Below are 17,422 nucleotides of genomic sequence, written 5' to 3'. Positions count from 1 at the left end.
TTCTCTTAAACTACATGAAGTGCTGACAATGACTCTAGTATCTCTTTGAATTTCTTAATTCAGTTCAGCTTTATCTCAGTCCATTCAGGTTACTATAACAAAAATACCATAGACTGGGTAGCTTATAAACAATGGAAATGTATTTCTTACAGTTTTGGAGCTTGGGAAGTCCAAGATCAGGGTGCCAGCAAATTTACTGTCTGATAAGGGCCCACTTCCTGATTCAGAGACAGCTCTCTTTTCTCTGTGTCCTTACGTGGCAGAAGAGGCAAAGGAACTCTCTGGAGTTTCTGTTTTCTTTTCTTTTTTTTTTTTTTGAGATGGAGTCTTGCTCTGTCACCCAGGCTGGAGTGCAGTGGCTCGATCTCAGTTCACTGCAACCTCCGCCTCCCAGGTTGAAGCAATTCTGCTGCCTCAGCCTCCCAAATAGCTGGGATTACAGGCACATGCCACCACACTTGCTAATTTTTTTGTATTTTTAGTAGAAACGGGGTTTCACCATGTTGGCCTGGCTGGTTTTGAACTCTTGACCTCAAGTGATCTGCCCACCTCGGCCTCCCAAAGTGCTAGGGTTACAGGCGTAAGCCACCATACCCAGCCTGGAGTTTCTTTTATAAGGGCACTAATCTCATTCATGAAGGCTCCATCTTCATGACCTAATCACCTCCAAAGACCCCACTTCCAAATACCGTCATCACTTTGGGGCTTAAGTTTCAACATATGAATTTTGGAGAAGCACCAGCATTGGGTCTGTAGCAAGCTAACTCAACAAACATTTATGGAGTGACTAATCTGAGCCAAACTCTGTGCTAGTTCATGAGGATATTATGAGTAAGGCATGGTCCCTGCAACACTTACAATCTGGAGCTTTGGCTTTCCAACAACAGAAAAGCTCCCATTTCCTGTTAAATTTCTGTGAATTGGTAAGAAATTCTCAAGTGAAGCAGTAGAGATAATGCATTGTGGGAAAAGTCTCCTGGGTGTGACTAGAACAGACTAATCAGGAAGGGCCAGGGAATGCAAGAGTTTCAACTGGAGGATCCAGGGAATAGGGAAAGGAAGCATGACAACAGGGAGGGCCCAGGGGTGTCTCTGAATGTTTTAAATTCAGTTTCTGGCTTGAGAGTCTTCTTAAGGTTGAGAGAATAAAAGGAAATATTGGCAGGACCCTTGGGTTGAGAGCAGCCAGTCAGAACTGAAAGAACTGGAGAAAATTTGCTCTCATGAGGACGGACACACCGGGGCAAAGGAAAGAAAGGAGCAGGAGAATTGTTGGATGAGATTGGTTGGATGATGGAATACGGTGTAGTTTCCCCTGCCGATAGTTGGTTTGCACCTTGAGCCTGCTCCCACTTTATTGAGATAGCTATGCACATTGTGTGCTGGAGACAGAGGCTGCCATCAGAGAGGAGGAGAGCTATCACAGGAGAAGCAAAAATGATGTCTCTGCCTCCCATGTGGGTCACTTAAGGGAAAACTCTCCTTTTATCCTCAGGTAGTTTAGGGGAAATTCTAGAGACATGAGATTGAAAGTTTATCTGATAAGGATATGTTTTATTATCTGCTTATCAGGAACAAATGAGATTACTAATACTTATATTGGTATGTAAGAATCCCAGGCCCCAAACACAATAAATATTGTTTTATTTTCTGTCATTCATCTTACTATTTCCTTTCATAGGTGCCATCTTCCAGAATTGGTAGGGCTTTAGTTGGCGCAGCTAAAAATAATCTTTCTCTCTCCTGCAACTGTTTAGTTTTTGTTTTTGTTTTATAAATTCAAAAAGCGAAGTAGGGACCCATAATCCACCATTTCTAGGTATTTCATGGGAATTGGAAAGAATTCAGTGTTGCCAACCATCTCTAAGATTATCCTTGTTCTCTCCTTCTTCTACTGACAGCTCTGTCCCCAACCAAGATTAAGATTATGGGTGGGGGATATGCAGTATGAGAAGAAATACTAAAACATTCTGAAATTATTATTAACTATTTTCTCATTAAAATTTACCATTATTCTCAAAATAAATAATGCTATCTTACTTTCTATTCTACCTCTGCATTCTAGGTTTTCAATGAGCTTATACCTATTTCTGCCTGCTAAATAAAAAACTAATTGTCAAAGTTGCCATTAGCCTTCAGGGTATTTATGTTCAGCTAGAAGAGTCTTAGCATCAAATAGTTGGCATGACACTTAGTGCATAGAAACAATATGCAGGAAAGATCTTTTTACCCCTTCAATCCTAAATCCTGCCCAATTAATCCAGAAAAGTGGCCAGTTACCCTTTCTGAGATTACTGTTTTCTTCTCTACTACATTCTACTTCTATAACATGTAAAATCAGATCTAAGTACTTGCTTTAAATGTTGGCAAAGGAGAAGAGAAAAATGTAGACAGGAAAAAATTAACCTCTTAAAAATAATATTTAGGAGATCGAGACCATCTTGGCTAACACGGTGAAACCCCGTCTCTACTAAAAATACAAAAAATTAGCCGGGCGCAGTGGCGGGCGCCTGTAGTCCCAGCTACTCGGGAGGCTGAGGCAGGAGAATGGCGTGAACCTGGGAGGCGGAGCTTGCAGTGAGCCGAGATTGTGCCACTGCAATCCGGCCTAGGCTAAAGAGCGGGACTCCATCTCAAAAAAAAAAAAAAAAAATAATAATAATAATAATAATAATAATAATAATATTTAACTATATGCTATAGACTAATTCTAAAACATTCTCAGTAGAAGCATGTGCTAGATAAAGATAATGTGCAGAACTTCAGAACCAAATAATGTTATATTACTCTTGCCTGTTTTTTTAATCAAGATTGTACAGTTTCCTCAAAACTAGTGATATTGACAATTGAGAGAAGACTTGAAGCTTGGAATATCCAGAGAGTTGTGTTATAGAATGCTAGCAAAGAAGCCCCATGTTCTGTCGGAAGCCTAGTTAACAGGTTTAGCTGACATATTTAGAGTAAATTTGTCTCCTTGCTAACTGTCTGTTACGTTGATTTGGTCATTGAGGAATTCCCAAAAAAAGGAAAACAGCTTATAGCATTTGAGCAGAGCTAATGACTGGTACCATTTAGTAGAGAATGACCAGGAGCATCGTGATTGCAGGACTGTGTTCTTTAACACCCTCCCCAGCTGCTCTATCCTAACTCGTGTAACAGTGGAGTTTTGAAATTTTGGGGTGAGGGGGTTCAGTTTAGCTAGAGTTGAAGTCCTTGGGCCTTTCTGGCCAAGCTCTGGCTAGGCTCTTCCTGCTACCCAATCTCATTTCCTCTTCTCTTTCCTCTTTCACCTTCTCCTTCCTCAATCACCTTCTTTTCCTCTTTTCATTTTTCTCCCTCTCTACTTCTTCCTTATTTCTCTCTCCATCTCTTCAGGAAGAAAATGGTTTAATCAATTATTCTCCACATAGGGGAATTTAAACAAGGTTTCTTAAGTTGAGATTTCTTTACTAAAATGCACACACTCAACTATGTAGATCTTTCCAAACAGGACCTCCCTATACCTAATCCCAACTTTTAAGCCAATAATATTTAACTCCCTACCCCAAACCCCAGATGACACAGTCCATCACAAACACACCATCAGCAGCACATTCTCATGGATCTGGCCCATGGCCTAAAAGCCTCTAGGATGATGTAGTTTGATATAGAACAGAGATCACAACTGCCAAGACAGTTTAGCATACAATCCTTGTGAACAGAATTTAACAGAATCTGAAGAAGAGTGGTGGTTTCTCAAAAGGAAGCCACTTTGTCTAATAACAATGTTGGTGTAAAGAGTGCTTTGCAACAACAAAAAACAGAGTGCTTTGCAGCATGGTGTAATAGATGATGTTGGTGCTATATCCCCTCAGAGCACTTTATGATTTGCATGTACCTCCCGCCAGCTCCCACTTTGTTCGAAACCCTTAACCAGCGACGAGTGAGTGCATGCACCTATGAACACCCCAGCTCCCAGCCTCATGATCAGAATAATTTTGAAGTGGGACATGAGCTGTCCTCAGGCCTCCCTGAAAGACTGAGCCACAGTTGCTCTCTGTGGGACTTAGCTTGGCATTGCACCCTTGCTTGGCTTCTTTGTCTTCCAAGTTCCATTTTCCCATTTTCTTTCTGGTTTTTCCTGAGAGTATTTTCTACTCAATCACTTTCATAAGATTTTTGTCTTGAGGTCTGCTTCTGTGGAATCTGATGTCAGACAAAGTACATTTTCAAATCATTGAAAAGAAATGTGGATTTATGGCTTTTAAAAAGAATAATGAGAGGATCTACTGCCTATTTCAGACTTTAAAAAAGAATCATGAAAACCTCTGTTTTTCAGGAAGGGAATTTGAAGGAGAAGAAGAATATCTGGAGATCCTTGGCATCACCAGGGAGCAGTCAGGCAAATATGAGTGCAAAGCTGCCAACGAGGTCTCCTCGGCGGATGTCAAACAAGTCAAGGTCACTGTGAACTGTGAGTACGGCAGGAGCCAGCAGGTGCTAGGTGCCCAGGGTGCACCTCTACCTCCAGTGAGCTCTAAAGATTCCATTAGCAAAAGAACATTGTATTTCAAGCAGATGCTCCTCTGGCCAGGAATGCACATTTATACATTGAACACATCCAAGGGCAGGACTTGGTCTTTGAATTTGGTAAATCAACTCTAAATGTAATCCATAATACATTTAACAGTACCCTTTTCTACTCAGACTAAAGAATTAAGAAAACATGATCAGACAGCACTAACATTGCTGGCGGTCACTATGCTGGTCTTCGTGGAAATCAAGGTCATACTACTTTAGAAAAAACAACAATTTGTATCTGGTTTAACTGGAATGTCCATCTTAATGCATTGTTTGTCAGGAGGGAATGCCTCAAGATTATATTTTATCCTCTGCTATTTAAATAATTGGCCTTGGGAACAAATTAGAGCCACTCTGGTCAGACACCATGTGTCCCTGATGGCTAACAGGAATGTCTGATAAGTTAATTTCAGTTACCTATTTGTCCCAAAGTATGGGCATTAGAAAGGAAGATTTCACTAAGATGCATAGGTAAGTGGGCATACTTTGAACTTCTCGGATGAAAGGATTCTTAGATGTAGTTCAAAAGAGGGTGGGCGGGGGGAGGATCTATATGATGTGTGTCACCCAGCAAAGGAATAAAGAGAATTCGTTTACCCTGTTCAGTTAGCACTGACTCTGCATCATTCAAATTCAAGTTCCCACATCACACAGCTGTGGCTAGTGTCAGGGACAAAGGGAAGCTTTGACAGTTCTTCTCTTCTATGCATTGAATGCACACACATCCTACATACACACATATAGGCACACAGGCATACATGTACAAACATCTTAATCCATATTTGAAAGTATCCTTTAGGCTATGACGAGTACTTTCTGTCATCTCATGTCTTCCTATGTGCCAGAGATTTTATATAAATTCTCTCTTTTCTACTCAACAACCCCAGCAAGGTAGATATAATTGAGATCATTTTAGAGTTTGAAAAACCACAACCCAAGGAGGTAAAACTGCTCATTCAAAGTGACACAGAAAGTAAATGTAAGAAAAGGGATTCAGACTCAGGTCCATTTGATTCTAAAGCCCACACTCTCAGGAGGAAGATAAGGACTTTGCAATTCCACATACCTACTATGTGCAGCATTGAGTTAAGAGATTTATATTGGCCAGGTATGGTGGCTCACCCCTGTAATCCCAGCACTTGGGGAGGCTGAGACAGGCGGATCACCTGAGGTCAGGAGTTCGAGACAAGCCTGGCCAACATGATGATACCCTGTCTCTACTAAAAATACAAAAATTAGCTGGGTGTGGTGGCGGGTGCCTGTAGTCCCAGTTACTCAGGAGGCTGAGGCAGAAGAATCACTTGAACCCAGAAGGTGGAGGTTGCAGTGAGCCGAGATCGCGCCACTGCACTTCAGCATGGGCAACAAGAGTGAAACTCTGTCTCAAAATAAAAAAGAGAGAGAGAGAGAGAGATTTATATTTGTTGTTTAATCCCCACAGCCATTTTAAACCTATGAGATAAGCATCATTAGTCTTACTTTAGAAATATGGAAACTGAGGCTTGGAGAGCTGAGGAAACTCGCTAAAGTTTACGCAGCCTATGCTGGGATGCACCATTACCTGTGACCTTCTCCAGCCTTGCAGACCTCTGAAACAAGCAGCAAAATCTCTTTCACATCAAACCTAGAGGAATCTAATAGAAACAAATGACTCTGCTATAGTTTATGGCACTCATTTCCAAGAAGCAAGGGGTTGCATTTCATGAGTTCTGAAGTGCTTCTATCCCTAGCTATCTTCCAATTTTTTAGTAATAGAGTTTTGAAATGCCAGTTATTACTATTATTTTCTAGTGTTGGGTGTGTTTCAAAGACACATTAATGATCGCAATGTTATAGAATGCTTTAGGACCTTTTTGTCACATGAAAGGCAACTTCTCTGGCTGTTTGTGTAAGTTTATAATTAGGTTAGCTTCTTTTATGTACACACAACCATGCCATCATCTTCCATCTCTTCCCTGACTTTTGGAGTTAAGGTTTCATTTTCTCTTAATTGACCTTCATCTTAATTAGATTTCTGAAAGTCCAATCGTGGTATACATAGAAAATATTTATGCTTCCATTGTGTGAAACATCAAAGTGGTCTGGATTGCAGATGGTTCCCAAGATCAAAGCTAGCCACCTGGGTCCTATTATTATTAGTGCAATTAGTCTGACATTGCTTCTTCTTGACTGTCCCCAAAGTGTAATTTAAAGCAGAAGAAAATACTTATAATTTTCAAGAAAAGACTTTTATGAAAATGTGAGCTTTTGCTAGTGATGAGTGAACCACAGAATATGGACAGAAATTTGAGATTCTAAAAAGATACCTCATAACAAATTATATGGAAAACTATAATGAGTTTAGTCACATATCCAGTATGTCCTAACAAGCAGGACCTAGCATGTGCCTGATCTTATAAAAATTGCTCAGTAAATGTGTATTGAATAAGTAGGTGAAAAATTCACAGATAAACTCTGCCCTCAACATTTCTCCAAATTTTGCAAATAATATGGTCACAAATCTTGAAACATATTTTATCAATTTCCTTTGGAATCACCTTTTACCAAAACCTCATGAGCTGTGTTTATATTAAAACTAGTCATCACAGAGTTATCCTGTTCAAACAATTAATCCAACTTAAATATAGTTGTATTAAGTAGATGAAGCCTCTCAGATTGAATTATGGAACCAAGTCTGCCTAGCAACACTCTTACATGCAAAGAAATGCCCAGGATCACCTCTGTCACTTCATCTAATCCTACCGGCCATGAAATCCATTATTTAAACTGATTCTGCTTCCTTTTCAAAACACAGGCTTTGGAATTAGGTCAGGGGATCAGGATGGTTGAGATAACTACTGGCCAAATAGATTATTGTAATGAACAGACCCTGAGTACCACTACAAGAAAAAAAAAAAATCTCAGGGCTATTAACTTTCTCCCATCAGCACTTCCTTGACTCATTTACTCAGTTGCCAACAGATGTTTGTTGCAGGGCACTGAGAGACTAGAGCAGTAAAGAAGAGAGACATAACAGTCTCTCCTGTTGAGCTCACAAGCTGGACTCTATGGTCTCTCCTTTTTACTTCTTTTGGATAGCACTTCTCTGCAGTAGGCATATAGCATTACACATAGCCACTTTTACATGCAAAATCTGTTTTCTAAGTGGTAGGAGGTCCTGGAATTTACGGAAAGCTAAAATATTGGCTCAAAATCTCTTCAATTAAATAAGCTTAGTATAATTTAGACAATAGACAGGACTTTCAGCTTTCTGTATCTTACCCACAATGTAGCTGTTAATTTCTTTCAGATACCAGTCCTAGGGACACTCTGTTCTTTCATTGCAGGTTCTAGGTGCAGTTCCTCAATTTCAGTTCACAGTGCATTAAATGTAACTACTTTTGAGCTTGACTCATCCTAGTGCCCAGTACACCTAGAATAATATCTAGCACCTAGTAAATGTTTAACAAATACAAACTGTTAATTTTATCTAGACTCTTTCAATATTGGACTCTTTTCCTATTCCTGGAGAAATTTCTCTTAAAAGCTGCTCCCAGCTCTCAAGCCTGTCCCCGCCCCATTGAACAGCTGACATTCCCACCTTCCACTTTCCCACAGGTCTCTCTCCAAATAGGTTCACATTGTCACTTCTCACAACTCCTTTTCCCTTTATTTGTCTGTCTCTTTGAATTCAGTTCTGCCTCCACCCTGGTGTCTAGAGCTAATCAACCCAACCAACACCCATGCTGGGGCACTTGGGGAGCTGACATTTCTAAATGTGAGCTTGCCTTACATTTGATAGCCATGTATTTAGAGGAAGCAGAGGTTGCCACAGAATACCCAATTGGGACTGGAGACACCTGTTGCCTCCAGATAATGTATGTGTATTTTAACTGGTATCTTCAGTGATTTGATTCAAAAATCACCTAATGAGAAAACATTAGGAAAATAACTTTTTTGTTTGTTTGTTTTTGAGACAGGGTCTCACCCTGTTGCCCAGGCTGGAGTGCGGTGGCCCAATCTCAGCTAACTGCAACGTCTGCCTCCTGGGTTCAAGCAATTCTCATGCCTCAGCCTCCCAAGTAGCTGGGATTACAGGCGCGTGCCACCATACCCGACTAATTTTTGTATTTTTAGTAGAGACATGGATTCACTGTGTTGACCAGGCTGATCTCAAACTCTTGACCTTAAGAGATCTGCCTGCCTTGGCCAGGAAAATAACTGTTTAATATGGAACCAGACTGGCCAGCTTCTCTAGCTTTTCATAGTTACACCTATTCAGTCTCCATGCTCATCTTTAGTTTATTCTTGCCTGTGGGTAGGTAATGGTAAAGACATATCCTAATATGAATCTATTATGAGGTCTTCAGAGGAAATATTCAGTAACAACCCAGAGTACTACAATGTTTCATTATAATTTTGCAATATGGACAAGAACCATAATTTTCTAAGTACCTTCAGAGTACCAAGACTCTCCTAGAGATTTCATATCAATTCACTGTAATCATCACACCAACAGTGGCCAACTATATTAATCCATTTTCACACTGCTGTAAAGAACTGCCCAAGACTGGGTAATTTAGAAAGGAAAGAGGTTTAATTGACTCACAGTTCCACATGGCTGGGGAGGCCTCAGGAAACTTACAATCATGGTAGAAAGCAAAGGGGAAACAAGGCACATTCTTCACAAGGCGGCAGGAAAGGGAATGAGTGCAGGAGGAACTACCAAACTCTTATAAAACCATCAGATCTCATGAGAACTCATTCACTATCACGAGAACAGCACGGGGGAACTGCCCCCATGATTCAATTACCTCCACCTGGTCTTTTCTTTGACACGTGGGGATTATGGAGATCACAATTTGAGATGAGATTTTGGGTGGGAACACAGCCAAACCATATCACCAACCAAATTGGAAGGTGTATTGGGCCTGGTCTGCCCCAGTGAGAAGTATTTACTTTATCACTGGCATTATTTAATATACATTGTTTAATATTGCTGGCACATGGTAACTTACAAAAAAGCAATTCTAAATCAGTTTTATTATCATTTCTAAATTCTATACAGACAATGTGTTTCTTATGGCCTACATCCTCTGCCTCTGCTGCTTTTTATACCACTGCACACTACCCATGGGAGACCAACTATATCATCCCCACGTAGAGAGGACAAAAATAAAGCTCAGTGAGTGTAAGCATGCTGTGACACAAAATCAAACAGCTTTGGTGAGTGGTAGACTTGGAACTCAAACCCAGGTCTAACTCCAAAGTCCTTTCTTTATCCATGATACCAAGTGAATAATAATACTATAAAATAATATGTGCAATCACTTTAGGCGTTAAAAGTGCTCTCATATTACTGATTTCATTTGATCTTTACTTCAAACCTGTGAGATAGACAGGCAGGCATCATTGTCTATATTCCTAGGTGAGGGGCTGCAAGGGAGCATTGTGTCCCATGGTAACAATCCAAGTGGCAATAGCAGAGATTGAGTCTGCATTTCCTGATTCCTAATACAGGTTTATATCCACTGTGTCGCCGCATGTTGTGCCATTGTTTGTACCCTGTAAATAATAGAAATATGCAACATTTACCTTTCCATCTACCAGCATGCTCCCTCCCCTGAATGGTATTTTTTCCTATTAGCAATTCATTGTTCTCCAAAAGAATTCATTCAAATAGACATACCAGAGCAGAGAGGTTCAGAGCATGAGTTTCAGAGCATGATAAACCTGGGGTTAAATCCATGGTCTGTCAAGTACTGACCATGTGAATTTGGACAACTTACTAACCCTCTATAAACTTGTCTTCTCTTTCATAAAATGGGGTTAATCATATTTACTTCCTAGGGCTAATTATTTGGATAAAGAGGATATCTAAAACCTATTAGAGTGCCGACATGCAGTAAATGACTATACATTAAATTTTCTATTCAGAATATTATTCTTTTATACTAATATTCCCAATATTAGTAAGATTAAATGAATGATATTTTATTTCCTAGTCCTCTGTTTTGTTACCCTATTTATTCTGATTGAAAGAGTCTTGTTATTGGTGATGTCAGAAGAAGAAAGGCCCTATTAATATTTTCAGAACGTGGAATTTTGAATTAATATAAACTGGAAGAGTCCTTTGACAATTGTAAGCTATTCCAAAGTCACATAAAGAATAACAATGGACCTCTCTGTGCAGCATTTTTATGATGCCACATTTTTATTATAACCATATTTTGAATAAGGACATCTATTATTTTAACTACACAAAGCATGCTGCAGTATGATTTGTAATAGTCTTTCTTAGCCTCACCTATGCAGAATTCATTACAAATGAATTTTGAAATGTTCATTTCAATAAGCCATGAAAAAATAAACTTGCACCATGGTGTCATTTGAAAAATATTAGAAACAATGAGCTCTTTGTATATTTATCAGTATTCATATATTTACCCTGGTACAAGAAAATTCCTAAGTTTTCAAAGAGAGAAGCAAGTAGTTGGTCTTTGTAACTGACTAGATTAATGCACTTGTAAGTGCTCAATCCTAGTTTGCTGCCAGCTTCCCCATGCTGGGGTCTCTGAGGGGCTAATAAATAGCTTGCTGCTTAGTAATTCAGGTTCCAAACAAATTGAGAAGTAAGGAAAAGAGTGGTCAGGGAGACCTAAATGTTCCCATTTTTAGAGATCAAGGTGGCTAGAGATAGTAGCTTAGTGTGGCCGACTTACCTCCCCAGTCATGCATGGCAACCCTGGGGTGGGACGGGCCTGCCCACATGAAAGCAGAAAGGAGAGAGCCCAAATAAGCCTTCTGACATGGAGAAAAGAGGAGAACCTCTGCTACCGGCCAGAAGCTTGGTCCCAAAAGGAAGAAAGGAAAGATATGAGCCAAACAGGCCCAGTTTCTTCTTCCCAAATTTTTCAATCAGAAAAATCATTTATTTCCTTCCCCGGGTCCCAAAGTGGTAGGGGACCAAGGGTAAATAGTCACTATTTGGCAGTTATAACCATGTGGCTCCAGAAACTCACAAACAGTAGTTAAAATTTATTTTACAAATTGGGAAATTGAACAAACAAAATTCATAAGCAAAATTATCTTCAGCCAACATCAATGGGCCAATGTGCTACAGATTATGGAGTCACTGGCAGCTTAAGAACACAATACAGTGAGAAGAAATGAGGACTGGAAACTAATATTTATTGAGTATTCTACTGCTGGTCGTCTTACTTCTTTACTTATGAATCTTATCTCAGTGGATGGCATTACCCAGATGCCCAAGCCAGAAATCACAGTGTTACCTTTTCAACACTCCTTCTTTTCCTCACCCTTATGAAATCCATTTCTAGTCTCATCAGTTCTGAAGCCTAATATCTCTCAGCCTTCAAATGCACTTCCCTGCCTTGGGTTCCAACATTTTTTTATTTTTGAGACAGGGTCTTGCTGTGTTGCCCAGGCTGGAGTGCAGTGGCTCGATCTCGGCTCACTGCAACCTCCATCTCCTGGGTTCAGGCAATTCTTGTGCCGCAGGTTCCCGAGTAGCTGGGACTACAGGTACACACCACCACACCCGGCTAGTTTTTTGTATTTTAGTAGAGATGGGGTTTTGCTGTGTTGGCCAGGCTGGTCTCAAACTCCTGACCTCAAGTGATCCACCCACTTGGGCCTCCCAAAGTGCTAGGATTAGAGGCATGAGCCATCATGCCCAGCCCCAACATTTTATAGATAAGGAAATGGAAGCAATGTGACTATTGGCAAAGTATTAAACTCTCAAACGAGGAAGGACAATGAGGAACAGAGCCTGGATTTGAGCTCATGTCTGCCAAATTTTAAATCCAAGCCCAGAACCTCTATTCTGTGTCCCATCCCTTTATTAATATCTCCCCCACAGCACCACTATTACCAACTATTGCATTATCCTTTGAACTGATGTGCTCTAATGATCTATATAACCAATTTTAGAAGCTAGCTTCTTTTTTAAAAAGATAAAAAAGAAAAAGGCTCAAACTGGTACAGATGTTTTCCCAGACCACAGCTCTGGTTAGAAGTAGAGTCAAAATCAGACCTCAAATTTCCTCTTCTTGACTGCTAATCCTGGTTCTTAAGCCATGGAATAGATAAATGAGTTATAATTTGGAAAGTTAGCAATTTAAGAGTTAAATTAGTTAAGGGTTTGAAAATACACTTGGATCATAATTATGCCAACCACTCATTTGAAAAGAATGAGCAGTTTTAACTAGAATTGGGATAGTTTACAGTTGGAAAGGATGCTATAAATCATTAAAATAGGATTCCCTCATTTTATAGGTAATAAAACCAAGGCCCAGAAAGAAAACGTATGATGAGAAGTCCAAACAGCCAAACTCAAACTAAGTCCCAGGACTCCTAGTTTCCAATCCAGGGTTCGTTTTATGACAGCATCTTCCCATTTAGTGCTTATACGGAAATAAGGCAGTAAGTCTAAAGCAAAACAACAATACCAACAGCAGTACAACAACAAAACTCCATTTAGCACGCCTGTTTACATACAAGTGTTTATTCAAATGTGCTGTAACTCTGACAGTGATTTAAAAATGTCTAAGCTTATGGGAAGATAAAATCAGGAAGGAAATTGCAGACAAATCAGATGCTTTCTCGTACATTCTTTTAAACTCAGAGAATTGCAGTCTTCTATAGGTAGAAAACTTAGGCAATAGTTTTTTAATACAAAAAAAAAATATCAGAAACAAGGAATATAGACCAGGTGCTGAAGGGCAGGGTTTAAATGAATTTACCCACTAACGTTCACTTTACTAATTTTCCTAAATGAGCTTTTTCCTCTACAGAGTCTAAACAGAGTGTCTGGGTCTGTTTTCCCCATGTGTACATAGCCAAGTTGCCATTTTCTGGCAAACAACCTTTGGACAGGAAAGGCCTTCTCTCCTTGAAGGCCCATAACCTGCACAAACACAGCATCATCCAGTTCAGGAGCTTGAGTCTATAATCCTAACAAAGTCAAGTGGACATGCAAACACTCTTTCCATCCTCATATGAATGTTTGAATGAGTCATGGAAAATTAGAGCGTCAAATGTGTTTCCCAGCTGATTTCAAGCCTGTGATAGTTTTGTAGGCCCATTCCTGGGCATAAAAATCAAGGGCCCAACTGCCAGAGAGAATAGAAGGCTGATATACCAGTAAGTCTTCTATGCACCAGGATAGACTTTAAACCGTACCCCCACACATAAAAGCTAAATTTACCTGGGTTGTGGTGATAAGGGAACACATAAAATAAAAGAAGGTAGTCACCTAATCCTAGTTTTGTTTGTTTGTTTGTTTCTGAATCCTGCAACAATATCAGACCAAACTTGGGTTGGAAAGGCTTTAGCTGGCTATTATTTTCATCAGACTCCTCAAGGCCATCTCAAACTATAATGACAAGAAGAAAAAGAAAAATGGTCAAATTATATGTTGAGATTCCTAAATCCTTTGGTATCATTGCTTCATTTATAAAAAGAAAAAACTATACAAATATTTATAATCTGTAATTGTAATACCATGACCTACTGGAGGAGGGATAAAGAAATTCTAGATTCCATTTCCATAAAACCCTGCTAAGTGTCTCATTTAAGTAAACCAAGTCTATGTTTTCATTAATTATCTCTTATTTTTATTTACTTTTTTGGTGATCAACCCCATTGAGCTGATCACATAATTCATACAAATGGAGCTTTAAGATGGCTCCCTTCCTGCCTCTCTCTAATCAGATTGTCCTTCTTCATTCCTTCCTGAATAGAAATTCTAAGCACCCCGACCCTCATGTAAACTTGTGTGCCTGTCCTTCCTACAGATCCTCCCACTATCACAGAATCCAAGAGCAATGAAGCCACCACAGGACGACAAGCTTCACTCAAATGTGAGGCCTCGGCAGTGCCTGCACCTGACTTTGAGTGGTACCGGGATGACACTAGGTATGTGCCAAACCTACCATCCCCCATGACTCCACTGCATGGGCCTGGGGACACCAGAATCCCCACAACAAAGCCAAAGCCAAGCCAGTTGTAATTATGTAGAACTATATTCTCACACTCTTCCTTTTTAGTATCTCTTATCAAATTCTTTGGGGCCTGTAGCTCTTAAGCTGAAGCCCAAAAGCAGTCAGGTAAAATATAAAAACGGTTCAATGGGTAGCTTTCACCTGCATGTCTTTCTTGCCTATAACAGAAACTCAAACCCATTCCCTAGTTTTCTCTGTTGATGGACATTGATTCTGATAATATGGCATTGCACAGTTAAAATAGGAATTGGGCATGGAACAACAAACTCTAGCTACTTCCTTTCTCTCCTTTTCCTCCAGTGTCAGGATGGGGAAAGAATTCCTAAGCTAAAATCTTCACCAGTGATCCTTTCTATTCTTCTGTTTTTGAACTCTTAGGATAAATAGTGCCAATGGCCTTGAGATTAAGAGCACGGAGGGCCAGTCTTCCCTGACGGTGACCAACGTCACTGAGGAGCACTACGGCAACTACACCTGTGTGGCTGCCAACAAGCTGGGGGTCACCAATGCCAGCCTAGTCCTTTTCAGTAAGTATGCCAAAGCAGGGCCCAACTTGATGGAATTAAATTGACTTTTCACATGAAAAACGTGAAAACCATTCCCTTAGCTATTAAAAGTTCACTTAAAAACAAATAAGGATATATGCACTGAAACAAAAATACAGGGTTCTCAACTCCTGTGCATAGCAGAGATTTATAAATGGAACAACTTCTCTCTATAGTCTTTCTTACTTCTGATAACTGCCTTGTTGTTTGTTTTTCTTCGTTTTTGTTTTTTGTTTTTTCCTGGTTAGTTAAATGAAATAATATGCAGAGAACACAAGTCTCTTTGGCAGTGGTCCTTTAAGAAGCAGAGGTGATGTAAAAGCCTGGAAATGGATAACAGTGTTTTTTGTTTTTTGTTTTGAAGGCAGTGATAAGAGTGATTGAGGAAGAAATATTCAGTGAGAATAGATAAGGTGCTGAGAGAAGGGAGAGGCTGGAAAAAGAAAGTATATTTTTAACAACACAAGAGGAAGGGTGGAATAAATGATAAAAACATAATGTAAAATCTAAAGGAGGAAAAATGGTTGCAGAAAGCTTTCTGTATGACAGTAAGAGACATTACTTTTCTGATATATTTTTGGAACAGAGATGGAATGGTAGGAAAGAGGAACATTTCTGAAGACCAGAGAAGATCCTGAAAGTAGAACAAGGGGAGAATGGTCATTCTAAAGACACTGATGTTAATAGGAGACCCCATCTTGGAGTCCTGCTCTTTAGCAGCAAGTTAGAGTCAAGTCTCTAACACCCTGCCTTGTTGGGCAGGTGACTATGAGCACAGAAGCAGATGCCGATGCCCTCTGAGAAACAGAAGGATGCTAAATGGAGTCACAGGAAAATGATAACATCTGGAATAGAGACACATTTGTCAGAATAAGCAAAACAAACCGAAAAGTTAGCCCATGCTGAATCAGAAAGTTCATTTGGACTAAAGGGAAAAGTCTAAAAAAAGTACTGTTATTATTTTGGAATAACAAACCACTAAGTTTTTTTTTTCTGCACAGATTCTATTGGAAAAACTGGAAATACTATGACCAGAAGAAATGTTTCTATCTTGCTATATTCCATTTAGATGAGCCTTCAAGAAAAAAATATTTTTAGAAAAAAAATCAATTTAAGTGAGAGTTCTCTTGAAATGTAGTGTTAAAGCCATTTTAAAACTCTTTAAGATCCAACTCCGTTTATAAAAACAACCACAAATGACTCTAACTTCGGCCTTTAGTTTCTCATTTGTAACTCTCATTGACTTCAGTCTGTGACAGTTTGATGAGATACAGTTATACAAATGCTGCCTCCATATGAAGTTTAAAATTCACAACATGTTTACTTGTCTCCAAAGACCAAACATAAGTATTCTTTGCCTCAACTAGAGACATCAATATCCCTAAGACGCTTGAGAATATACTTCTTAAGAACTGTAGTTACTTGATTCATTCCTAACATTAAGGATTCCATAAATGGCAGCGGGAGAGGGGGGGTGCGGGGGGAACCAGCCTCAACTGGGAATTTAAGATTTACCAAATCTGAGTTGACCTGGTTAAGCAGAACAACATTCACTTAAAAACTTAAAAAGAAGGTTGTATAGAGATTAGTAAAGAGAAGATAGAACAATTGGATGAGTTACAGAAAGCAAGCAATTACATATTTGCATTAAAGTATATTTTCTTTCTATTTAACCTAGACTAAGAACTATGCTAATGATATATTTCAAATAATAAATAAAATATCATCTATAGCCTGAGAGAGAGGAAAAAGAAAGAGGTTAGAAGGATGGAATACTTGAGGGAGAAGGGAAAGTGAGCATAGAGTTGGTCAAAGGCAATGAGATACTGCTCGTGGTCATGGAAGGTAACATCACGCCCTACAATACCAATGCCCTATAACAGAAGTCCATTTAAAGGACTTAACCCAGAAAAATTGAGAAATGTCAAGAATCTTACAGAGCTTCTGTTTGTATACTGAGAATCAGGGAATGATCAGACAAGTGTATCCTATCACACTGCCCTTTATGATTTAGTAGAAGTCACCCTCCATTATACATTTGAGGATTGTGTGGTGCAGTGATTAATGATGTACTTCCTGGTGGTCCCACATAGGCACTACCATAGTTGTGTCTTTGGCAGCATGCAGAGGCACCACATGCATCAGCATTTGGTTTAGAATAGATGTCCCACTTTTATGGGAAAGTTAGGAGGTATAACACTTACTGAAAAAATAGAATATGAAAGATCATTAAGCTTTGAGGCAAAAAGGAACTATTCAAATTGCAGAATATTGGTGAATCTATTGCACTATTTCTTAGATCCAAGGCCTAAG

The 17,422-nt window shown here is 39.5% G+C and overlaps 1 protein-coding gene and 2 long non-coding RNA genes across 9 annotated transcripts in view; 1 reads left to right on the top strand and 2 right to left on the bottom strand.

Annotated features, from left to right (window-relative positions):
* The window catches only part of LOC124906269 (uncharacterized), a 277,601-nt gene that overhangs the window by 211,766 nt on the left and 48,413 nt on the right, over positions 1–17,422 (bottom strand). The window lies entirely within an intron of this gene.
* Positions 1–17,422, top strand: part of LSAMP (limbic system associated membrane protein) — a 643,114-nt gene that overhangs the window by 588,552 nt on the left and 37,140 nt on the right. For all 7 annotated transcript variants that reach the window (NM_002338.5, XM_017006383.3, NM_001318915.2 and 4 more), the window contains 3 exons: positions 4,319–4,453; positions 14,358–14,478; positions 14,943–15,091. In NM_002338.5, the coding sequence (NP_002329.2) occupies positions 4,319–4,453; positions 14,358–14,478; positions 14,943–15,091 (405 nt within the window). The remainder of the gene's footprint in view (positions 1–4,318; positions 4,454–14,357; positions 14,479–14,942; positions 15,092–17,422) is intronic.
* Positions 9,118–14,364, bottom strand: LOC124909413 (uncharacterized). The gene is made up of 2 exons (XR_007096013.1): positions 13,817–14,364; positions 9,118–10,104 (listed from the first exon to the last, which is right to left on the bottom strand). It is a non-coding gene; the product is annotated as an uncharacterized LOC124909413 (long non-coding RNA).

The sequence above is a fragment of the Homo sapiens genome, chromosome 3 (genome assembly GCF_000001405.40).
Source record: "Homo sapiens chromosome 3, GRCh38.p14 Primary Assembly".
Lineage (NCBI taxonomy): Eukaryota > Metazoa > Chordata > Mammalia > Primates > Hominidae > Homo > Homo sapiens.
This window is presented reverse-complemented; position numbering and strand designations above follow the sequence as displayed.